At 51.0% G+C, this 23,605-nt stretch overlaps 2 protein-coding genes across 3 annotated transcripts in view, besides 9 other annotated features; one reads left to right on the top strand and one right to left on the bottom strand.

Moving 5' to 3' along the window:
* The window catches only part of BCKDHA (branched chain keto acid dehydrogenase E1 subunit alpha), a 27,185-nt gene extending 15,049 nt beyond the window's left edge, over positions 1 to 12,136 (bottom strand). For both annotated transcript variants that reach the window (NM_000709.4, NM_001164783.2), the window contains exon 1: positions 12,019 to 12,136. In NM_000709.4, the coding sequence (NP_000700.1) occupies positions 12,019 to 12,126 (108 nt within the window). In that variant the 5' untranslated portion in view covers positions 12,127 to 12,136. The remainder of the gene's footprint in view (positions 1 to 12,018) is intronic.
* Positions 114 to 163: an enhancer, noted in NCBI's record as "active region_14681". NCBI's record gives its function as "activates an Ori minimal core promoter by ATAC-STARR-seq in GM12878 lymphoblastoid cells {active_cell/tissue: GM12878}" and the evidence as "EXISTENCE:reporter gene assay evidence [ECO:0000049][PMID:35858748]".
* Positions 1,473 to 2,428: an enhancer, noted in NCBI's record as "NANOG-H3K27ac hESC enhancer chr19:41913431-41914386 (GRCh37/hg19 assembly coordinates)". NCBI's record gives its function as "activates a minimal SCP1, AML or CMV promoter by ChIP-STARR-seq in naive H9 embryonic stem cells {active_cell/tissue: H9 hESC(naive)}" and the evidence as "EXISTENCE:reporter gene assay evidence [ECO:0000049][PMID:30033119]".
* Positions 2,429 to 3,383: an enhancer, noted in NCBI's record as "NANOG-H3K27ac-H3K4me1 hESC enhancer chr19:41912476-41913430 (GRCh37/hg19 assembly coordinates)". NCBI's record gives its function as "activates a minimal SCP1, AML or CMV promoter by ChIP-STARR-seq in primed H9 embryonic stem cells {active_cell/tissue: H9 hESC(primed)}" and the evidence as "EXISTENCE:reporter gene assay evidence [ECO:0000049][PMID:30033119]".
* Positions 11,281 to 11,952: an enhancer, noted in NCBI's record as "H3K27ac hESC enhancer chr19:41903907-41904578 (GRCh37/hg19 assembly coordinates)". NCBI's record gives its function as "activates a minimal SCP1, AML or CMV promoter by ChIP-STARR-seq in naive H9 embryonic stem cells {active_cell/tissue: H9 hESC(naive)}" and the evidence as "EXISTENCE:reporter gene assay evidence [ECO:0000049][PMID:30033119]".
* Positions 11,953 to 12,625: an enhancer, noted in NCBI's record as "H3K27ac hESC enhancer chr19:41903234-41903906 (GRCh37/hg19 assembly coordinates)". NCBI's record gives its function as "activates a minimal SCP1, AML or CMV promoter by ChIP-STARR-seq in naive H9 embryonic stem cells {active_cell/tissue: H9 hESC(naive)}" and the evidence as "EXISTENCE:reporter gene assay evidence [ECO:0000049][PMID:30033119]".
* Positions 11,953 to 12,672: a biological region, named in NCBI's record as "H3K27ac hESC enhancer GRCh37_chr19:41903234-41903906".
* Positions 12,108 to 12,387: an enhancer, noted in NCBI's record as "active region_14680". NCBI's record gives its function as "activates an Ori minimal core promoter by ATAC-STARR-seq in GM12878 lymphoblastoid cells {active_cell/tissue: GM12878}" and the evidence as "EXISTENCE:reporter gene assay evidence [ECO:0000049][PMID:35858748]".
* Positions 12,384 to 12,672: a silencer, noted in NCBI's record as "fragment chr19:41903187-41903475 (GRCh37/hg19 assembly coordinates)". NCBI's record gives its function as "represses an EF-1alpha promoter that drives an FKBP-Casp9 reporter gene in an ReSE screen in HepG2 liver carcinoma cells {active_cell/tissue: HepG2}" and the evidence as "EXISTENCE:reporter gene assay evidence [ECO:0000049][PMID:32094911]".
* Positions 12,595 to 23,580, top strand: EXOSC5 (exosome component 5). Its single transcript, NM_020158.4, has 6 exons — positions 12,595 to 12,773; positions 16,974 to 17,087; positions 17,992 to 18,113; positions 20,049 to 20,189; positions 22,351 to 22,440; positions 23,229 to 23,580. The coding sequence occupies exons 1-6, from the start codon at positions 12,626 to 12,628 to the stop codon at positions 23,319 to 23,321; spliced, it is 708 nt and encodes a 235-aa protein (NP_064543.3). The 5' UTR covers positions 12,595 to 12,625; the 3' UTR covers positions 23,322 to 23,580.
* Positions 23,427 to 23,605: a silencer, noted in NCBI's record as "fragment chr19:41892254-41892432 (GRCh37/hg19 assembly coordinates)". NCBI's record gives its function as "represses an EF-1alpha promoter that drives an FKBP-Casp9 reporter gene in an ReSE screen in HepG2 liver carcinoma cells {active_cell/tissue: HepG2}" and the evidence as "EXISTENCE:reporter gene assay evidence [ECO:0000049][PMID:32094911]".

The raw sequence follows: 23,605 nt of genomic DNA, 5'->3' as shown, positions 1-23,605 counted from the left end.
TGGCACATGCCTGTAGTCCCAGCTACTCAGGAGGCTGAGGCAAGAGAATCACTTGAACCCGGGAGGTGGGGGTTGCAGTGAGCCGAGATTGCGCCATAGCACTCTAGCCTGGTGACAGTGAGACTCCATCTCAAAAAAAAAAAAAAAAAAAAAAATCCCTTAGAGGGTGATATGGCAAAGTAACTTCCCCTCTCCACGTGTCCCCTTCCTTGTCTATAAAAATGGAGAACCCCTCATGGAAATGAGAGGCTTAAACAAGATCACATGAATAAAATGTTCAGCAAAGCATCTGTAAGCCACCTAACAAATGCTCAAAACAATCTTAGCAATTCTCATTTCTCCCTCTCATCTCTGCTTGCTTTACAAGAAGGTCTCTTTCCCTATCGCCTGGCAAACTGCTACATACGCTTCAGTGTCCACTCTACTCTGGTCCCAGCTCCCTCTGCGAGCCCAGACTGACTCATTCAACAAATATTTGAGCACCTGACATGTTCCAAGCCCTGTGCTGGGTTCTGGGGACCTAAGACAGGCAAGATATCTGTCCTTGCTGCCTAGCAGGGAGGGCAGACACTAAACAAGTAACAATGATGGTGGTTCATATTATCCTATAGCAGAAGAAAGCGAGGGTAAGGCTTCCCTGGGGAAGTGATGTTAGAGCTGAAACCTGAGGGATAACCAGGAGGCAGGGAAAGCACATTCTCGGCAAGGTGTATAGAACATGCAAAAGACAAAAAGTGGCCAGGCACAGTGGCTTATGCCTGTAATCCCAACACTTCGGGAGGCTGAGACCAGCCTGGCCAACATGGTGAAACCCCATGTCTACCAAAAATACAAAAATTAGCTGGGCGTGGTTGCGCACACCTGTAATCCCAGCTACTCAAGAGGCTGAGGCAGGAGAATCACTTGAATCCGGGAAGCGGAGGTTGCAATAAGCCCAGATTGCACCAACACATCCCAGCCTGGGCAACAGAGACCCTGCCACACACACAAAAAAAGACAAAAGGCAAGGAATAGTGTGTCCTTCATGGAAGACAGAAGGAGCTCAGGGCCTGGCAAGGTGGCTCATATCTGTAATCCCAACACTTTGGGCTCAAGGATTACTTGAGCCCAGGTGAGCCCAGGAGTTCAAGACCAGCCTGAGATCACATCTCTACAAAAAATTTTAAAAATTACTCAAGCATGGTAACATACACCTATAGTCCCAGCTACTTGGAAGGCTGAGGTGGGAGAATCGCTTGACCCCAGGAGGTGGAGGCTGCAGTAAGCCATGATCACACCACTGCACTCCAGCCTGGGCAACAGAGCAACATGCTGTCTCAAACAAAAAAAAAAGCTCAGAGGGGCTGGAGGAGTCCTGCAAGGACATCACACCTCCTCAGGTCAGATGAGGAATGGCTGAGAAAGCCCAGGAGACCTGTGAGAAGCCTATAAATGCTCAAAGGGATATGAACCCACTGGGACTCTTAGCTCTGGAGCTAGGCAGCCTAGAACCAGCCGAGGCGTTGCAATAGCTCCCCCTTATGAAGCACCTGCTGTAAGCCAGCTGAGCCTGGCAGGCACAAGCCTACTAACTCCTCGGGGAATTTGTGAGGTTGATTATCTGCCATTGCCCTTGAGTAGATGAGGAAACCGAGGCCTGGGGAGGTAAAATAACCTGCACCAAACCACAAATTTAAAAAAAAAAAAAAAAAGGTGGGGATGCTGGGCAGTGGCTTACGCCTGTAATCCTAGCACTTTGGAAGGCCAAGGCAGGAGGATCACATGAGCTCAGGAGTTTGAGACCAGCCTGGGCAACAGTGAGAAACCCTGTCTCCACAAAAAAATACAAACATTAGAAAGGCATGGTGACACATGCCTGTGGTCCCAGCTACTTGGGAGGCTGAGGCAGGAGGACTGCTTGAACCTGGAAGGATGAGGCTGTAGTGAGCTGAGACTGTGCCACTGCACTCCAGCCTGGGGGACAAAGTGAGACCCTGTCTCAAAAAAAAAAAAAAAAAAAAAAATTACATCAGAACTGGGCTTCCAACGCTGAGATTCAGGCTCCTAGACATCCATGCTCCTCACCCCAACTGCCCCTGCAGCCTGATTTTCAAACATCTGCAACTTTTCTTCCCACTACTCCCGGGATTCCTCCGAGGTCAGTAATGGTGGCTTCACTTCCCACAGATGTTAAAGAATGGCAGGGTTTGCCACAAGCTGGATCTCACACATGCGTGCTCAAATGTGTCCCTCCGTCTTCCTTTAACTGCAGTGAACAAGCTGTCCACAGTTCTAGCGGGGTAGCATGTTCAGTGTGTGTATTTATTTGCATTTGTAGTCGTGAGGAAATTACACTCCCAATGGCAGGGCAGATTCAGGCCTGGCAATGTCACTGCAGGCCTCCCCTTGTGAGGAGGAAACAGCCGGCCTCTTGCAGCACAGTGCTTCCCCCTTCTGAGTACCCAGCATAGCCAGACACTGACCTAGAAGATTGCTTTGTTTCGTGTCTGTCTCCCACACACACCACAATCCCAGGAAGGCAGAGACAGCGTCCAGGTTGCCTTCACAGCAGGCACTCAAGAGGGAATTCCTGAGTGAATGCATGAATGGGCTGTTAAGTTCCCTGGCTCTGGAGTTCAACTGCCCTGGGTTCTAATTTCTTAGCTCATTGTGTGGCTCTCTGCAAAAACACTTCACCTCTCTGAATTTCCTTATCTGTAAGAAGGCTGCAGAACACCACGTGAAAAGTTGCTAAGTTAACTCACACCAGGGGTTCAGCACCGATCTGGGACGTATTACATACTCAAAACTTGGTAAGAGAGAGAAAAACAAAATCTAGGAAGGTGAGAAGTGGGAGAAAGGGAAGTGACTACACTGTATGAGATAGGGAAAAGAGGAGCTGGGAAGAACTAACTGCACCTTAAAGTGGATACTAAAATCAAACTGTGGCGATGTGCAGCGGCTCATGCCTGTAATCCCAGTACTTTGGGAGGCTGAGGTGGGAGGATCACTTAAGGCCAGTGGTTCGAGATCAGCCTAGGCAACATAGTGAGTCCAGCCTAGGCAAAACCCTCGTCTCTGAAAAATTTTTAAATTAGCCAGGAAGGCTGGGCGTGGTGGCTCACGCCTGTAATCCCAGCACTTTGGGAGTCCGAGGCAGGCAGATCACCTGAGGTCAGGAGTTCAAGACCAGCCTGGCCAACATAGTGAAACCCTGTCTCTACTAAAAATACAAAAAACAGCCGTGCATGATGGTAGGTGCCTGTAATCCCAGCTACTTGGGAGGCTGAGGCAGGAGAATGGCTTGAACCTGGGAGGCGGATGTTGCAGTGAGCCAAGATGGCACCATTGCACTCCAGCCTGGGTGACAAGAGTGAGACTCTATCTAAAAAAAAAAAAAAAAATTAGCTGGGAATGGTGGCATTTACATGTAGTCCAGATACTGGAGTTGCGGGAGGCTGAGGTGAGAGGATGGCTTGAGCCCAGGAGGTCAAGGCTGCAGTGAGCCATGACTGCACCATTGCACTCCAGCCTGGGCAACAAAGTGATACCCTGTCTCAAAGAACAATAAAACCAAACTGTGGCCCCAGCAGATACTCCAGAGAGGGAGACTGAGGCACAGGGGAGACGGCATGCTGATGGAAGAGGACCGAAGGCTGAAGTCTTCAGACGGGCACTAAGAGGGGAGGCCAGAGTCTGAGAACAAACCACTGTGTCAGGGCAGGACTGTCAGCCTCTAGAGGCTGGACAGCTATCTTCACGGCACCCCAGTGTGCTCCACATACTGCAGCTGGGTCTCGGCTGTACCCTCCTCCCCTCTTTGCTGGGCTGGTGGAGATAATGGTAGTCCCCAGCCCCAGGGTTGCTGCCCCAATTCAGTGAGCTATGCAAAGGGCTCCACGCTGTGCCTGGTCCTGAGGAAATGCTCCATAATGGGAGTGGGTGGCCAAATGCCTGCAGAGGAAGGATGCGACTCCACCCATCTGTTCCTCTAGTTTTTGGAAGGGGGTGGGGGAGTCTGTCCCGGTGGCCAGTGATTTACAATGGCAGAGGCTGCACAGATTTACACAAAGCTTCATGCCACGTCCTCTCCCACCATGCAGGAAAGCACAACCTGCCCGCTCTGGATGGTCTGGTCTGCCCAGGAAGTACTGGGGTGACCCTGGTGGAGTCACTTGAAGGCACCATGGCTAAGCGCATGGACTCTAACTGAGCAGACCGCTGCCTGATTATGTGACTTAAACTCCCTGAGCCAAGTGCAGTGGCAGACGCCTGTAATTCTAGCTACTCTGGAGGCTGAGGCAAGAGGATCACTTGAGTCCAGGAGTTCGAGGCCAGCCTGGGAAACATAGTGAGACCTCGTCTCTACAAAAATAAATATATAAATAAAATTTAAGGCCAGGTGTGGTGGTTCACACTTGTAATACCAGCACTTTGGGAGGCCAAGGAGGGAGGATCGCTTGAGCCCAGGAGTTCAAGACCAGCCTGGATAACATGGCAAGACCCCATCCCTACAAAAAATTAGCTGGGCATGGTGGTGCACACCTGTACTCCCCAACTACTTGAGGGGCTGAGGTGGGAGGATCGCTGGAGCCCAAGAGGCTGCAGTGAGCCAAGATCACACCACTGCACTCCAGCCTGGGTGACAAAGTAAGACCTGTCTCAAGGAAAAAAAAAAGAAAAAATTTTTAAAGAAAAACTCCCTGAGCCTCAGTTTCCTCCTGTGTACACCGAGGGTGGTATAAGTACTTATCTCAGGGGTTGTCATGAGGATTAACCGAGTTGACCTGTGTGGATTGCTCAGCCCAGTGCCTGGCACATAATGTTTCATAAACACAAGTAGTGAGTAAGTATTTCTCATGATTGTTCTTGTTAAACAGATACTGAACATTTGCTCCAAATCATGCCCTGAACTGAAGGCTAGAGACAGGGAGGGATGAATGACAAACACTGAACACACAAGTTATAATCAAGACAGGTGATCTTACTCACATTGCTTCACCTGACTAGCCTAAAAAAACAAAAAAGTGTCAAGTTGACAGGTAAGCCAAATGAAAATACAGAAATAATATGGCTGGGTGCGGTGGCTCATGCCTGTAATCCCAGCAGATTTGGGAGGCTGAGGCAGGTGAATCACTTAAGGTCAGGAGTTCATGACCAGCCTGTCAGGCTGATCACGATGGTGAAACCCCATCTCTACTAAAAATACAAAAATTAGCCAGGCGTGGTGGCACGCACCTATAGTCCCAGCTACTCAGGAGGCTGAGGCAGGAGAATCGCTTGAACCTGGGAGGTGGAGGTTGCAGTGAGCCAAGATCGCACCACTGCACTCCAGCCTGGGTGACAGAGTGAGACTCCATCTCAAATAAATTAATAAATAAAATTAGGCTGGGCGTGGTGGCTCACGCCTGTAATCCCAGCACTTTGGGAGACCGAGGCGGGCGGATCATGAGGTCGGGAGATCGAGACCATCCTGGCTAATAAGGTGAAACCCTATCTCTACTAAAAATACAAAAAATTAGCCGGGCGTGGTGGCGGGCGCCTGTAGTCCCAGCTACTCGGGAGGCTGAGGCAGGAGAATGGCGTCAACCTGGGAGGCAGAGCTTGCAGTGAGCCGAGATTGTGCCACTGCACTCCAGCCTGGGTGACAGAGCAAGACTACATCTCAAAAAAATAAATAAATAAATAAAATTTTGGCCGGGCACAGTGGCTTATGCTTATAATCTCAATACTTTGGGAGGCCAGGGCAGGCAGTTCACTCGAAGCCAGGAGTTCAAGACCAGCCTGGCCAATATGGCGAAACCCCATCTCTACTAAAGACACAAAAATTAGCCAGGCATGGTGGTGCATGTCTGTAGTCCCAGCTACTCGGGAGACTGAGGCACGAGAATCGCTTGAGCCGAGGAGGCAGAGGTTGCAGTGAGCCAAGATCGCACCACTGCACTCCAGCCTGGGTGAAAACAGAGCAAGACTCTGTCTCAAAACAATAACAACAGCAGCAAATAAATAAGTAAATACTCACATAAAATTTTAAAATAAAAAAAAACGGGAGATTTCAGAGGAGGCAGGATGTATAGTGGTTACCCACATAGGAGGTAGGATGAGGGTCTCTAGGGTTAAACTGCTGGTGTTTGAATCTGGTTCTGTCTCTTTCCAGCCACGCGGCCTTGGACAGGAGCCAGTCTCTGTGAACCTGCGTGCCCTCGTGGGGATGGCATCCACCTCACAGGCTGGTGGAGAGGCGGGGAAAGCACCTGCCGCAGCTCTGGCAGGAATGCCTCACCAGCTAGGATCAGATAGTACCCCTCCAGGAAGCACCAGCATCAGATGGCACACCAGGGAAAGCTTCCTAAAGAAGGGGGAGTTCAGCCAAGGGGTCAGAACACTTCAGTCCTAGGGAAAAACCAAGGCTCCAAGGCAAGAGAAGAAAGCCTGGCGCCCTGGGACCCTGAAGACTGGCATGGCTGCTATAGGTCAATCAGAGAATAACTACATGCTGAGGTGCCACTCAAAGCACTTTATTTACACCTATGTGCTCACTGAACCCATAAGGCATCCAGACGGGGCAGGCACTGTTATCATAACTCCATCAAAGACAGGTGGTAGCTGAGGCGCCGCCTCAAGGGCTAAGCAACTTGTTCAGGTCCAGTGCATGCAAGGCTTTGTGGATGGTGCCAGTTAACTCCAAGTCCTCCGTATCTAGGGTAGCTAAGGCCACCCAAACCCACTCTCTCCTGAGCTCAAAGGCACTCTGCCCTCAAACAGAGCAAAGAGTTGAGTCCCCCTTCCCAGAATATCTCGTGAGAAGGGAAAGGCGTGCAGATTAGGCAGGTATCACTGTCCCTGTTTCACAGACAGAGACCTGGTGTTTGGGGTCTGGAACGCTTCTCTGAGGAAGTGTCATGTCAGCCATCATCTGAAGGACCTCATACCTACAAAGGCCACCAGGTGGGAGGAGGCACATTCAAGGAAGGGAAAGATGGCCAGGGGGACTGAAGTGGAAAGAGGCGAAAGACAAGAAAAATCACCTGCCCGGCCACACATGGTGGCTCACGCCTGTAACCCCAGCACTTTGGGAGGCTGAGGTGGGTGGATCAGTTGAGGCCAGGAGTTCGAGACCAGCCTGGCCAACATGGCAAAACCCTGTCTCTATTAAAAATATAAAAATTAGCCGGACACGGTGGCACACACCTGTAGTCCCAGCTACTCGAGAGGGGGAGGCAGGACAATCGCTTAACCCAGGAGGCAGAGGTTGCAGTGAGCAGAAATCACGCCACTGCACTCCAGCCTGGGTAACAGAGCAAGACTCCGTCTCAAAAAAATATAAAACAAAATAAGCCAATACTGGACTAAGAAGAATGTTGCAAGACTTGAATCTAAGCTCCATCCTTTCTCCTCCTGGCAGCCTGGTACCATGAAAAGAAACTGGGTTTTGGAGTCCAGAGCTCCAAGTTCAGACCTCACCTCTCTGAGCCTCAGTCTCTCCATCTGTAATAGGAGAGTACTACCAATAAAGGCCTTGCACTATTGGTGTATTAAATATAATAAAAAATTAGAGTTGGATTTGTAAACCATTCAGTGCCTCAAGATGTGAAAAAGGAGGCCAGGTTTCTTAACACACTAGCAAGTAAGAGATGGACCCATACACTTAGAAGACTGTAATGACCATCTCCATTCATCCCACAATACACACTGACATGGTTTGTCTCTGTCCCCACTCAAATCTCATCTTGAATTATAGCTCCCATAATTCCCACATGTTGTGGGAAGGAGCCAGTGGGAGGTAATTGAATTATGGGGGTGGATCTTTCACGTGCTGTTCTCATTATACTGAATAAGTCTCACGAGATCTGATGGTTTTATAAAGGGGAGTTCCCCTGCAAGCACTCTGTCTGCCTGCCACCATGTAAGATGTGACTTTGCTCCTCATTTGCCTTCCGCCATGTTTGTGAGGCTTCCCCAGCCATGTGGAACTGTGAGTCCATTAAGCCTCTTTTTCTTTATAAATTACCCAGTCTTGGGTGTGTTTTTATTAGCAGCCTGAAAACGGACTAATACATACACTGAGTACCTACCACTTGGAGATACTGCACAGGGCACTGGAACCCCCAGACAGGCTGCCCCTGAAGAGCTGGGTCACAGAAATAGTCACCGATAATTAGCACAGAGCGAGCTCCAGGGGCTTCCTGACTTCCAACAGGGTAGGGACTCTATTCACCCCACTAGCTAGGGTCAGAGAGGTGAAATGACTTAGCCAAGCCCAGGCCTGGGGTAGTGGCTGAGAAACTGACTCACAATTCCTTGACAATCTGAGTTTCCTTCCTCCTCCTTTCCCTGAGCACTAAAACGTCTGCTATGATAACAGAGACAGGAAGGGAGGTGAAAATCAGGCAAACACATCTGCAGGGCAGCAGGGTATTCAATGAAGGAGTGGGCAGAGCAGGGGCAAGAAGTCGGGGACAAGTAAAGCAGCCCCACTCCTCCTTCTAATCCAATCTTCCCCAGTGAACCCAGTAATCCAATCTGTCTACAATATGCAGCCTCTCAACCTTTCCCTGACTATTTCTTCATCTCCACCTGGATAAAACTGCATCATCTTAGCCAGGCATGGTGGCTCACACCTGTAATCCCAGCACTCTGGGAGGCCGAGGTGGGTGGGTCGCCTGAGGTCGGGAGTTCAAGACCAGCCTGATCAACATGGAGAAACCCTGTCTCTACTAAAAATACAAAATTAGCCAGGCATGGTGGTGCATGCCTGTAATCCCAGCTACTCGGGAGGCTGAGGCAGGAGAATCGCTTGAACCCAGGAAGAGGAGGTTGTGGTGAGCCAAGATCATGCCATTGCACTCCAGCCTAGGCAATGAGAGCAAAACTCCACCTCGAAAAAACAAAAAACAAAACAAAACAAAAACCCTGCACCATCTAATGTGGCAGCCACCAACCACTTGTGGCTATCTTATTTTGAGACAGAGGGCTGCTCTGTCACCTAGGCTGGGGTATAGTGGTGCGATCTCGGCTCACTGCAATCTCCGCCTCCCAGGTTCAAGCGATTCTTCTGCCTCAGCCTCCCAAGTAGCTGGGACTACAGGCACACGCCATTACGCCCAGCTAATTTTTTTGTATTTTTAGTAGAGATGGGGTTTCACCATGTTGGCCAGGCTGGTCTTGAACTCCTGGCCTCAGGCAACCCGCCCACCTTGGCCTCTCAAAATGCTGGGATTACAGGCATGAGCCACCGCACCCAGCCCACTTGTGGCTACTTAAACTTAAACTCATGATAATTTAATAATATGGCCAGGCAAGGTGGCTCACGCTTGTCATCCTGCACTTTGGGAGGCTGAGGCAGGAAGATCGCTTGAGTCCAGGAGTTCAAGACCAGCCTGGAAAACATGGCAAAACCCCATCTCTACAAAGATTTAAAAATTAGCCAGGCGCAGCCAGGCACAGTGGCTTATGCCTGTAATCCCAGCACTTTGGGAGGCCGAGGCGGGCAGATCACCTTAGATCAGGAGTTCAAGACCAGCCTGGTCAACATGGTGAAACCCCATCTCTACTAAAAATACAAAAATTAACTGGGTATGGTGGCGCACGCCAGTAGTCCCAGCTATTTGGGAGGCTGAGGCAGGAGAATCACTTGAACCTGGGAAGTGGAGGTTGCAGTGAGCCGAGATCGTGCCACTGCACTCCAGCTTGGGTGACAGAGCAAGACTCCGTCTCAAAAAAAAAAAAAAAAATTAAAAATTAGCCAGGCGTAGTAGCACGTGCCTGTGGTCCCAGCTACTTAGGAGGTGGAGGTGGGGGGATTGCTTGAGCCCAGGAGGTTGAGGCTGCAGTGAGCCATGATCACACCACTGCACTCACTCCAGCCTGGGTGACAGAGTGAGACCTTGTCTCAAAAAAAGAAAAGGCTAGGCGCAGTGGCTCATGCTTTTGGAGGCCAAGACAGGCGGAACTTGAGGCCAGAAGTTCGAGACCAGCCTGGACAACATGGTGAAACCTCGTCCCTACCAAAAATACAAAAATTAGCCAGGCGTGATAGTGCATGCCTGTAATCCCAGCTACTAGGGAGGCTGAGGCAGGAGAATTGCTTGAACTCGGCAGGCAGAGATTGCAGTAAGTCAAGATCATGCTGCTGCACTCCAGCCTAGGCGAGAGAGTGAAACTCTGTCTCAAAAAAGAAAAAAAAAGAAAAAGGAAAGAGAGGTACAGAAAGAAAGAGAGAGAGAAAAGAGAAGAGAAAAGGAAAGGAAAGGAAAGGGAAAAAGAAAAGAAAAGAAAAAGGAGAGGGGAGGAGAGGAGAGGAGAAGGAGAGGAAAGAAAGAAGAAGAGAGAAAGAACAGGTGGGAGAAATAAAGGGGAAAAAACAATAACTCTTAAGATAATACAAATTTAAATATATATAAATAAAAAGTAGGGACTTCTTCCCTCCCCACTCCCCACCAAAAATGAAGTAGGGGAAGCAAGAGGAAAGGTAATCAAGAGATTGAGACAGGAGAGAAAGATTTAATCAGCCATAAATGACCTTTCCCTAGCCTGCCCCAGTCCTGCCCACCTCCTGCCCCACTTGCCCAGCCAATGGGCCCCTGGGACTGAGATCAGCTGTGGAGGATATGAACTGCTCAAAAAAAAAAAAAAAAAAAAAAGTGAAAAGGTCTCCAGCCCAAAGGCAAGAGACTGCCCTACCCACACCTTGCTCCTGCAGCCCTTCTGTATTTACCTGTTTCAAGTGACTCCGTTCCTAGATACCTACTACGTCCTACTCCTGGCCCATCTTCTTCACCCTCCTCCCGTTTGTTCCCCTACCCAGAGCTTCTTTCTACAGATTCCATCTTCCCCTCCTTATGGATTGGGGATCAGAGGATCAGACTCAACCTCACAATATCTTTTCAGATTTTTTTCCCCAGGGCCTCACCAATCCAGGCCTTCCCAAGGTCACCCCTTTCTTCTCCCCATCTCCAAGGTTAGTTTCTGTCCCTTCCCTCCACCCTCACTATCAACATTCCTATTGCCCTTAGGATGTGCCAGGTCCAGTCCTTAGCATTTTACATATTGATTTTTCACAGCCCTATGAGGTGGCCACTGTTAATATTTTAGAGAGGAAAATTAGCTCCATAGATCCAGAGAAGTGCAGTCCGTTGGCCAAGGCTACACAAGTGGAAAGCGGCAGAGCAAGGACATGCATCCACCCATGTAACCACTACTCTCCTATCTGTCAACTGTAGTTCAAAGCTCTTCTGCAACCCATTGCCTCTCCCCGTCTAAAGATAGGCTTCCACCTAGGTTTTTTGCAGTGTAATCTTGCCCTTAGCAGCATCCACCTGAAGGGATTGTGACCCTTTTGACAAGAAACAAAGCCTTCTCAAGTGTTTCTAAGAAATGTGGGCAAAGTGCCCTGTCTGTACCTCTCTCCCTCCTTTTTTCCCCTCATTAATTCAACAAATATTAATCGTCTCCTCTGTACAGTGTCCAGAACACACGAATTCTCTGTCTTGATATTCGATCAAGAGACACAGGAATCAAACAAATTTTTTACACAATTCATTTTAAAATCAGAATTGTGGCAAAGGAGCAAAGAAATACAAGGCCCTATGCAGCCTGTGACAGGGACCTGTTCTCTTCTTTCTTCTTCTTGAAGAGGGATCTTTGCCCAGAAGAAAGTCCCTCCCTTACAAAGTCAGTTTCATTCTCCAAACCCTGAGGGAGAAGGTCTTGCGGTCTTCCCCTGTTCCTCCAAGGAGCCTCCCCTGAATACCAGTGGCAGCTAATAAGGAACCCCCATCTCTCTCTTCAAGTCGTCTCCCTCAGGGCCCACAAAGAAGTTGCAAACGGGTTTTTTCCTCTCCTAAAGAAGTGGAAGTTCTTTTCGTCTCCTAAGGAAGTGGCAGATCTTCCCTTCGGTGTCTTCTCCAAGGAGTCTCCCACTCTTTTTCCCTTTTGTGACAGCCCTTCCTTCATATCCTTCAGGGACCCCACACTCTGAAGATAGCCTTTACATCCCTAATCCCCTTTGGGAAAACCGCCTGGGGCCCAGGTACTCACAGATCTAGCCAGTCCCCGAGCCCCAGGCTGCCGCAGCAGCAGGAGGGCAGCCTGGCTCAAACCACGGTTTAGCCGCCAGACCCTCGCTGCAGCGATCGCTACCGCCATCTTGGCTAACAACCACTCAGCGGTCCGGCACTCACGTAGGCTAGATTCGGGGCTGCCTCTTTATGTGCCTGACGCAAACTCCAGCACCATCTGACAAGAAAACCATCTTCTTCCCGTTCTGTGGTAGATAGAATGCACAGAGATTTGGAGAAAAAAAAATCTATCTACCCAAAATTTTCTCCAATCGCCTCATTGTAGTTACTCCTGTAACAGGCAAAGAAGAGGGCAACCTGACCAGGGCCTCAGGGATTTAGGGCCCGGGGGCCCAGAGTAAAGCGGATCAATGCCAAGGCCTGCCTTCTGTTCCCAAATGTCCAATGGCGTTGCCAGAGTTAGGAGGTGGGACTGGGCGGAGCCAGATTGTTGGTAAACGCTAAGCCACGTGCGGACGCCCAGGAGGATGGCCCAGCCCGGCGCGTGCGCACTGGTTACGCAGCCTGTTTGCGGCGCGCGCTGCCAGGCGGAAGTGACAACTGCAGCCGCACGTGGGCTCGGCGCGATGGAGGAGGAGACGCATACTGACGCCAAAATCCGTGCTGAAAATGGAACAGGGTCCAGCCCTCGGGGTCCTGGCTGCAGCCTCCGGCACTTTGCCTGCGAACAGAACCTGCTGTCGCGGCCAGATGGCTCTGCTTCCTTCCTGCAAGGTAAGAACTTCACCCAGGTCTTTCTTTTGGAGAGGGACTACCGTGTACTGTGCAACCGAGTGCCCACCTCCTCACGATACCAGCTGGTAAATGTCACTCCTGCGTTGATGCATGATTTCTTGTCCGATTGAATACTACTAAATACGCAGGGATACACACATCTCTCCCTCACGACTAGAAAGGAGAAGATAGTTCCATCTTTGTAACTATCTCTGAGAATGAGAGGAGGGGCAGACTGTCCGCCCAAGAATTGATATTTCAGAATAGGGAAAATCACCTCGCCAGGGTAAATATCCCCCTTAACTCGATTCCTCCTCCACCCTCCCACCCCCACCCCCCACACACACACCCTCTAGGTCCTTGCATCCCGGACTGAAGCAAACCTGTCTATTTGCATACTGTGGACTGTGGCGGATCTTTCACCCACGTAAATACTCCTCAAATTGAAGATAATGTCATTGCGCTGGGTTGAGAAATACATCCCCACCGCTACCTCACTGCATCTCTCCACACAAGTAAATATCCCTAAGATTAGGGCAAGTCAAAAAAAAAAAAAAAAAAAAGATTAGGGCAAGTCTTACCTATAGAGCAAATATCCCCTTTTCCTAGCTAAATAACTCTCAGAAGTAGATTAACTCCAAGAATATTTCTCTTTAACGTTTGAGACGGGAGGCCGGGGGCGGTGGCTCACGCCTGTAATCCCCACACTTTGGGAGGCCAAGACCTGTGGCTCACCTGAGGTCAGGAGTTCGAGACCAGCCTGGCCAACATGGCGAAACCCTGTCTCTACTAAAAATACAAAAACTAGCCAGGCATGGTGGCGGGCGCCTGTAATCCCAGCTACTCGGGAGGCTGAGGCAGGACAATCACTTGAACCTGGGAGGCAGAAGTTGCAGTGGGCCGAGATCGTGCCATTGTACTCCAGCGTGAGCGACAAAGCAAGACTCTGTCTCAAAAAAAAAAAAAATTGAGACAGCGTCTCACGATGTCACCCAGGTTGGTCTTGAACTCCTGGGCTCAAGCAATCCTCCTCCCAAAGTGCTCATACAGGTATGAGCCACCACGCCCAGCCCCAATACATTTTAACAAAATTTGGCTGCTGTGTTGATTGTGGGGAGTATGGGGGAAAACAGGGAGGTGATGGTGGCTCCAGCCAGAGCAGGAGTAGTGGAGGTGATGAGATTCTGGATGTAGTTTGAAAGTAATACGGACAAAACTTACGTATAGTTTGGTTTGAGTGCGAGGAAAAAGATTCAGGCATAACTAAGGTTTCTGCCCAGATCTGTACAAGTCTGGAAATCAGAAGAGAGACCCAAGCTGGACATAGGCAATTTGGAACTCTCTGGCTATATAGATGGTATTTCAGGCTATTGCCTGAACGAAGTGAGTGTAGATGGAAAAGAGAAGAGGTCCCAGGACCAAGCCCTAGGCCTTCCAACTTGAGCAGTCAGAGACATGTGACAAGCTAGCAAAGGAGACTCAGAAGGAACGCCCAGAGAGTTAGGGGGAAACCAGGAGATGGTGGTGACCTGGGGCCAAGAAAAGAGCATGTCTGAGATGTGAGGGCTGACCAGCTGTTTCAGCCTTACTGACAGCCGGGTCATGGGAGGGTTGATCATTTGGAGGTCAGTGGTGACGATGTTGAGCTGCCGCAATGGAGTGGTGGGGTCACAGAAAAGGAAGAAGAGGCAGCTGTTCAGGAGTTCTGCTGTAAGAGGATCAGATAAGTGGGGCAGGAGTTGTAGATTGTTGTGGGGTCAACAGGGGAGAGAATTGCTGGAGCCACGTCTTCAAGAAGGTGAGAGGGGAGAGACTCTTGTGCTCGGGCAAAACACAGGCAGTTCATCTGGAGCCAGAGGCAAGTTCTGTTTTGGTAACTTCTCCAGTCCTCAGGGCAGTTTCTCCTGGAACTAAGCATACCTTCCGTGTAAGGGCAAATTGGGCTTCCCAGGAAATACGGCCTTAACCAAGGACCTTCCCAGGCCCTCCCTCAGGCTTAGCGCTTATGCTGAATTGAGATACCTAAAGTTTCTTCGAACGTAAGAATTAAGAAGAGGCCGGGTGCAGTTGCTCACAGCGGTAATCCCAGCACTTTGGGAGGCCTCTGAGGTCAGGAGTTCTTTTTTTTTTTTTCTTTTTTTTTTTTTGAGATGGAGTCTCGCCCTGTCGCCCAGGCTGGAGTGCAGTGAAGTGATCGTGGCTCACTGCACCCTCCACCTCCCGGGTTCAAGCAATTCTTCTGCCTCAGCCTCCTGAGTAGCTGGGACCACAGGTGCGTGCCACCGCGCCCGGCTAATTTTTGTGGTTTTTAGTAGAGACGGGGTTTCACCATGTTGGCCAGGCTGATCTTGAACTCCTGACCCTGTGATCCACCTGCCTCAGCCTCCCACAGTGCTGGGATTACAGGCGTGAGCCACCTCGCTTGGTTGAGGTCAGGAGTTCTGAGACCAGATTGGCCAACATGGTGAAAACCCATCTCTACTAAAAATACAAAAATTAGTCGGATGTGGTAGCACGCACCTGTAATCTCAGCTACTCTGGAGGTTGAGGTACAAGAATCACTTGAGCCTGGGAGGCGGAGGTTGCAGTGAACTGAGATTGCGCCACTGCACTCCAGCCTCCTGGGTGACAGAGGGAAACTCTGTCCCAAAAAAGAAAATAGAGACAGGAGTCTTCCTATGCTGCTCAGGCTGGTCTCAAACTCCTGGCCTCAAGCAGTCCTCCCACCTGGGCCTCCATAGTGCTGGGATTACAGGTGTGAGCCACCATGCCTGGCCTAAAATGTATTTTTTTTTTTTTATTGAGACTAAGCCTTGCTGTTATTGTCCAGGCTGGAGTGCAATGGTGTGATCTCGGCTCACTGCAACCTCCGCCTCCCCGGTTCCAGCAATTCTCCTGCGTCGGCCTCCCAAGTAGCTGAGATTACAGGCACCCACCACTATGCCCAGCTAATTTTTGTATCTTTAGTAGAGATAGGGTTTCACCATGTTGACTAGGATGGTCTCAAACTCCTGACCTCAGGTGATCCACCCACCTCAGCCTCCCAAAGTGCTGGGATTACAGCAGACAGTACTAGAAGCCAGGCTGTTTATTTCTTAGGTTTTACCTCCTGTACCCCGTTCATAGCTTCTGGGGAAATAAGGAATCAGGATTCATTCCAGATATTATCCCTTTCTCAGGTGTCCAGACTGATGCAAAATTTGGGGGCCAGTGCCTAAGGGAAGAGCTGGGCTGGGGAAGCTTTGGAAAGAGAAGTTGAGAGCAGCTGCAGTAAGAGGGAGGATGGTTAGCTTTCAGGAAGAACTTCCTGTTAAAAGTTACTAATACCAGCCGGGCACAGTGGCTCACGCCTGTAATCCCAGCGCTTTGGGAGGCGGGCAGATCATGAGGTCAGGAAGTTCGAGACCAGCCTGACCAACATGGTGAAACCCAGTCTCTACTAAAAATAAAAAAATTAGCCAGGTGTGGTGGCGCGCGCCTGTAATCCCAGCTACTCAGTAGGCTGAGGCAGGAGAACTGCTTGAACCCGGGAGGCAGAGGTTGCGGTGAGCCGAGATTACGCCACTGCACTCCAGCCTGGGCGACAGAGCAAGACTCCATCTCATTAAAAAAAAAAAAATTACTAATATCAGGGCCAGGCGTGGTAGCTCACGCCTGTAATCCTAGCACCTTGGGATTACAGTTGCCCAGGAGTTCGAAACCCGCCTGAGCAACATGGCAAAATCCCCTCTCTACTAAAAATATAAAAATTAGTCAGGCATGGTGGCACATGCCTGTAGTTCCAGCTACTTGGGAGGCTGAGGCGGGAGGATCACTTGAGCCCAGAAGGTCAAGGCTGCAATGAGCCGTGATGGCACCACTGCACTCCAGCCTGGGCAATGAGAGTGAGACCCTGCCTGAATGCCTGAATGGACGAATGTTACTAATACAGCTAAAGTCTGTTGCACATTCAGCGTGAGCCCCGCAGTGTTCTAAGTGTTTTCTGTGAATTGTGTCCTTTGATCCTCACAAGACGCTAGCGGGGAGGGACTGCTATTTTCCCCATTTTACAAATGAGAGAAATGAAGTGAGTGCTCAAAGAATCAGTACCAACAAATGGCGGGGGTGACGTGGGGAGCCCTGGCCGTCAGGCTCAGTGCCACAAATGGGGCCCCAGGAGCAGGGAAGCTGTGAGTGAGGCCCTCCCTGCTGTCTCCTCAGGTGACACCTCTGTCCTGGCGGGTGTGTACGGGCCGGCCGAGGTGAAGGTCAGCAAAGAGATTTTCAACAAGGCCACACTCGAAGTGATCCTGAGGCCGAAGATTGGGCTGCCTGGTAATTGGGCCCTGCTGAACCTCTGAGTGGTGCCCAGTTTGTCAAAATCACCCCCCCAGCTCCTCCCTACCAGCTGCCCCGAGTCTCCACTCCCCGCTTGGGTCTCCACTCAGCTGTTTCTGTCTTTAACTCTCCGCCTCTAATTAATAACTCATCTTCTGTTGCTTCTCTCTCTGCCTCTAATTTCTCCCTCCCTCTTTTCTCCCTCTCTCTGCCTCCACTCTCATTCATTCCATTAACCTGTTTTTCTTTTATTTATTTTTATTTATTTATTTTTTTTTTGGAGACAGTGTCTCGCTCTGTCACCCCGGCTGGAGTGCAGTGGCACGATCTCAGCTCACTGCAACCTCTGCCTCCCAGATTCAAGCAATTCCCCTGGCTCAGCCTCCCGAGTCGCTGGGATTACAGGCACGTGCCACCATGCCCACTAATTTTTTGTATTTTTTTAGTAGAGATGGGGTTTCACCATGTTGGCCAGGATGGTCTTGATCTCCTGACCTCAAGTGATCCGCCCGCCTCAGCCCCCCAAAGTGTTGGGATTACAGGCGCGAGCCACTGTGCCTGGACCATTAACCTGTTTTTCCACCCTTTTACCCTCATATCCCTCAGTCCCCACTGACTGGACCTGCTAGGGTGGGAGTGGGCGTGGGTAGCAGCACAGACATGGAACTCCCAGGTCTTCTTCCCTTGGATGGTTCCCTTGGTGGATGCTGGAGGTAGCAGGGGTCAGTGGATGGCAGTCAGGCCTTGCCTTCTTCCCACTGGAATCTTCCATCATCCCTGCAGGTAACTGCACCATCCCAGGCTGAGACCGTGAGCCCTTTCTGGGAATTTGGGTGAGGCGTATGGAGGAAGGTGAGTCAAATGAAGGGGAAGACCCTGAACCTCTCTTCAATTTCCCCAGGTGTTGCAGAGAAGAGCCGGGAGCGGCTGATCAGGAACACGTGCGAGGCGGTGGTGCTGGGCACGTTGCACCCCCGCACCTCCATCACCGTGGTGCTGCAGGTTGTCAGCGATGCCGGCTCTGTATCCTTTCTGCCAGGCCTCCTCCTCCAGGAAGTCTCCTGATTGCTTCCCTCCTGGCGGATACATATACCCTCACTGCTAGCCAGAAAGCCTTCAAACACTTGACAGGTACCAGCTCACTGAAGAAGGAGAGCAAACAGCCTGGGTGCTTACTTATGTGCCAGGCACTGTTCTGTGTGCCTTATGCACATTAACTCATGTAATATAGCACATGCCCTTATGATCCCCGTGGAAGTGGCAGAGCCAAGACTTAGACCCAGACCGTCTAGTTCTAGAGCCCACGGACCCTGGCAGATGAGTGTTCTTATGTTCGCATGTTTCAGGTGACAAAACTGAGGCCCAGAGAGGGGAAGGGGCTTGCCCAAGGTCACACAGCTGGAAGGCAGCACAGGCAGGACTCAAGCCCAGGCCAGTCTGACTCCAGAGCCTGTGCCAATCACTTCTTTTGTTTTTTGGGTTTTTTTGTTTGTTTTTGAGACAGGCTCTCACTCTGTCACCCAGGCTGGATGCAGTGGTGCAATGTCAGCTTACTGCAACCTCTACCTCCCGGGCTCAAGCGATTCCCATGCTTTAGCCTCCTGAATTACAGGTGGAATTACAGGTGCCTGCCACCACGCCAGGCTAATTTTTGTATTTTTAGTAGAGACGGGGTTTTGCTGTGTTGGCCAGGCTGGTCTCGAACTCCTGACCTCGAGTGATCAGTCCACCTTGGCCTCCCAAAGTGCTGGGGTTACAGGCATGAGCTACTGTGCCCGGCTGGCAATCACTTCTACTCGGCACCTCAGTGGATTTCAGGCCCTCAGTGCTGGGGGCGCCCTGAGCAGACAGCAGCTGAGTCAGGAGCGTGGCCTTGTAAGATCTCCATGTCTGAGGTGCGAGAGGTTGAGGTTGAGGACTAGAATTAGACACTGTAGAAGGCTTTACTGGAACGTGGCCCTGAACTGGACAGACATTTTATGGATGGGCAGAGAGAGAAGGTATTGTGACCCCATTTTACAGAAGTGGAAAGTGAAGCCCAGAGGAAGGCGTGGAGGATCAGCAGCAGAGCTGGAACCGGTTGACTAAAGCTGTGGTCTTTGTCTGGCTGCTAGGCCTGGAGAAGAAACACATTAGGAAACTGAGGCAGAGCCAGCTGACTCCCAACCTGTGCTCTCTTTCCACTGTGAGCTTCCTGCAGGCAGCAGCGAGGTGGCTCTTCCTCCATTGCCCTGCCAGCTCTGTCACCGGGGAGTGGCTGCTACCCAAGTTTCGGGCCTGGCTTTGCCAGTGCCTCCCCCTCGTGTCTTTGGAAGGTTTCTTCCCCTCTCTGACCCTATTTGCCAACAAATGTGTGGTACGTACTTCAGTACATACCTATTGAATATTATTATATTCCCCATCTAACAGATGAGGAGATTGAGACTCAAGGAGTAAGTCACTTGTTCAAGGTCACACAGCTGAGCAAAACTAGGTCTGGAACCCAGGGCTACTTGATCCCCGGACCACTTTTAACCACTCTGCCATACTGCCCTTCTGTGACCGATTAGTGATGTCTGCCATAGGCATCAGCCTGGTGGAGGGAGGCATGGATCTGCTCTGCTGGCCAGGCCTACAGTAGAAACTTCTTAGGCTGGGCGTGGTGGCTCATGCCTGTAATCCCAGCACTTTGGGAGGCCGAGGCAGGTGGATCACCTGAGGTCAGGAGTTTTCAGACCAGCCTGGCCAACATAGTGAAACCCCATCTCTACTAAAAATACAAAGATTAGCCGGGTGTGGTGGTGGGTGCCTGTAATCCCAGCTACTCAGGAGGCTGAGGCAGGAGAATTGCTTGAACCCAGGAGGTGGAGGTTGCAGTGAGCCGAGATCACACCATTGCACTCCAGCCTGGGCAACAAGAGCGAAACTCCATCTCCAAAAAAAAAAAAAAGAAACTTAACCATTTCCTGTGGTGCTCAGCTCCTGGCCTGTTGTCTGAATGCCGCCTGCATGGCATTGGTGGATGCAGGTGTGCCCATGCGGGCTCTCTTCTGTGGGGTCGCCTGCGCCCTGGACTCTGATGGGACCCTCGTGCTGGATCCTACATCCAAGCAAGAAAAGGTAGGTGTGAAGACCAGGGTGGCTGAAGGGCAGAGGCCAGACAGCTGCCCGTCCCTTCCTCCAGGCCTCGCTTCTCTACAGACAGTCGGCTCATGCCACCTCAATCCCACTTAGCAAGGGCTGCTCTAATCATCATGGTTCATTTAGCAGCAAGTGCTGGAAACCCAGCTCAGACTTGCTTAATTAGGAAGGAAATGTGGGGCCGGGAGCGGTGGCTCACGCCTGTAATCCCAGCACTTTGGGAGGCTGAGGTGGGTGGATCACCTGAGGTCGGGAGTTCGAGATCAGTCTGACCAACATGGAGAAACCCCATCTCTACTAAAAATACAAAATTAGCCAGGTGTGGTGGCGCACGCCTGTAATCCCAGCTACTCAGGAGGCTGAGGCAGGAGAATCGCTTGAACCCAGGACGCGGAGGTTGTGGTGAGCCGAGATCGCGCCATTGCACTCCAGCCTGGGCAATAAGAGTGAAACTCCATCTCAAAAAATATAAATAAATAAACTAGAAAGGAAATGTATGGCCAGGTGTGGTGGCTCACACCTGTAATGCCAGCACTTTGGGAGTCTGAGGCAGGCAGATCACCTGAGGCTGGGAGTTGAAGACCAGCCTGGCCAACATTGCAAAACCCTGTCTCTACTAAAAATACAAAGGTTAGCTAGGCATGGTGGCACACATCTGTAATCTCAGCTACTCAGGAGGCTGAGGCAGGAGAATCACTTAAACCTGGAGGGTGGAGGTTACAGTGAGCTGAGATCGCACCACTTCACTCCAGCCTGGATGAAAGAGTGAAACTCTCAAAAATAAAATAAAATAAAACCAGGACTTTAAACACCATCAGGATGTCCTTGCTTCACTTCTCGTCCCTGCCTTTCTCTGCACATCAGCTTCATTCTTTCTGGCCAGCACCTTTCCTGAGGCTGGGACTGACCCCTTAAGCTCCATTTCCATCCTAGGAGGCTCAAAAGCAAACGAGAAGAGAGTTTTCCTCATCGGCTCAGGTGCAGTGTCCTAAGCTCAAGTTATTCTGAGTTTTCTGCCCAGTGCTATAATGGTCCCCTCTAGTCAAGAAGACGGAAACCACTTGGAGGGTTTCAGATGGAGGGAGTTAAATGCAGGGACTTTGTAACAACAGTGTTGAGGAACTAGAGGAGGAAAAAGGAAGCAGGAGTGACACCCAGAGATGAGAAACCCCTCCCAGACCTGGACTGAACCTGCGAGCCACCTCCTGTTCTGTCGTGTTGGAGACATCATCTCAATTGGTTCTGGATGCACATAGCATGTCCTGCTTCTGCCCTGGCCACTGAGGTCCAGAACCCACCCCACCTCCATGGCTGTCACACAGCCACAGCCATCAGCACCTGCCATTGTCCATGAGGACCAGGGTGCTGCTTTTCTTCCATTCTCCCACCTCATTACTGATGGAAACTAGCTGGTAAGGGAGTCTGGGAAATACAGCTTGCTGGCTTCCAGCCCCTGTGGGACAGAGCATGGAAGGGGGACTGGGAGGCCGAGAGGTACCAGATAAGTGAGTGGCACTATGGCTAGCCCCTTGGGGCAGGAATACTGAGCTTGGAAGCCCCTGTCAGAACCACGTGGTTGGAATAAGGGGCATGGAGTACAGTTCTACAAAGGAAAGGCAGAGGGCTATACCCAGGGAAGTAGGGAAGGGGTAGCGTAGACAAAAAATGGCTGCGCTTGATGCTTGATAGGTGAGCGCCTGGCTATGGAAAGGGAGAGGCCTGGAGGCCAAGGGTCCGGAGTCCCCTCAGTGGGACTGGCTGCAAGTGTGTGGTGGGAAGGGGAGCGTTGAGACAGGGTCTCACTGTCGCCCATGCTGGAGTGTAGTACGATCACAGCTCACTGCAGCTTCAAACTCCTGGGCTCAAGCAGTCCTCCCACCTCTGCCTCCTGAGTAGCTGGGAACTCAGACATGCACCCCCACACCCAGCTACCTTTTTTTTTTTTTTTTTTCTGAGATGGGGTCTCCCTCTGTTGCCCAGATTGGTCTTGAGTTTCTGGCCTCAAGCAGTGCCCTGCCTTGGCCTCCCAAAGTGGTGAGATTATGGTCATGAGCCACTGTGCCTGGCCAAAGGACTGGCTGAGATTTTATCTGAGGGGAAGGTCCTAGGTCCCCCACCGCCTTCTACCCCTTGTCCCTAGGAGGCCCGGGCAGTCCTGACCTTTGCCCTGGACAGCGTGGAACGGAAGCTGCTGATGTCCAGCACCAAGGGGCTCTACTCAGACACTGAGGTACCAGCATGGGGATGAGGGGAAAAGCCAGAACCTTCCTTCCCACTGACATACGGTCTTGTCCCAACTCTGCCCTGGATTCTGAGAGGCTTCAGGAGAGCCTCTTAAATTTCTTCTTGTAAAAAGGGAGTTTTCAAACTTTGTGGACCCAGAAACCTTTGCGGAAATGTTTAAGGGAAGCCCAATTTATAACACAGGCAAAAAGAGGATGAGCTCAGTTTGAAGTCAGAAGAGGGCATGTGATGGTCCCCCAGCTCCCAGCTCAGAGTGGTGAGCCATGGGAATTCCAGGTCTCAGGCTAAGGGGCAGAGCCTGGAAACTCTTGGACATGACTGTCTGCAAAAGCATGTCCAACCTGGACCTCATGAATCTAGGAATACATGGCAGTGAAGACTGGGAGTCTCTTGATTCCATGGCTCTTAGATTATTTGGGCTGAAGGGGACTGTGGCTGTAAAATCCCAAGACCACTCCAATTCTGTGCACTCTCCAGTTCCATAGCTCTGCACAGCTGGGGCCTCCTCCAAGGTGTGAGGATGCCTGATAGGTCTGAGTCCTGTTGCTGTCAGAATCTGATCCTGAAGTCCTTCTCCCTCTTTTTATTTCTCCTGATCTCTAAGAAACAGTTCATGAAATGGGAAATAATCCCTTACCACTTGCCTCACTTGGGGGCAGGGGAGTGATGGGAGGTTAAGGGAGTCAGGTGGGGTCAGCAGAACCTCCTGGGTCAGCCAAGTCGTGTGTGCATGAAGGGCTCGGCCCCCAGCACCGACCAGTCTCTCCCCCGCAGCTCCAGCAGTGCCTGGCTGCGGCCCAGGCCGCTTCGCAACACGTCTTCCGTTTCTACCGGGAATCGCTGCAGAGGCGTTACTCCAAGAGCTGAGGCAAGCTGGGGCAAGGGGCCGCTCCCATTGCCTCCACCCACTCACCCCCTACAGCCTGAAGCAAACCAGCAGCCCAGCCTTGCCTCTCTGACCCATGGGCTCCTTGAGCCTGCAGCTCTGTAACCACAGGGCTCCTGTGGGGAGGCCTTGGCCTGTGACAGCCCCCAGGCCTGGGGGCACAGATCCCCCCAGCAAGGATAACATTCAAAGGAGCTCACATTTATGGAATGGATGAATCAATAAATTAATTCACTTTAACAAATGTCTGTTGAGCACCCATCGT

The sequence above is a fragment of the Homo sapiens genome, chromosome 19 (genome assembly GCF_000001405.40).
Source record: "Homo sapiens chromosome 19, GRCh38.p14 Primary Assembly".
In the NCBI taxonomy this organism is placed as follows: domain Eukaryota; kingdom Metazoa; phylum Chordata; class Mammalia; order Primates; family Hominidae; genus Homo; species Homo sapiens.
Note: the sequence above shows the minus strand (reverse complement) of the source record. Positions and strands in the feature narration are given on the sequence as shown.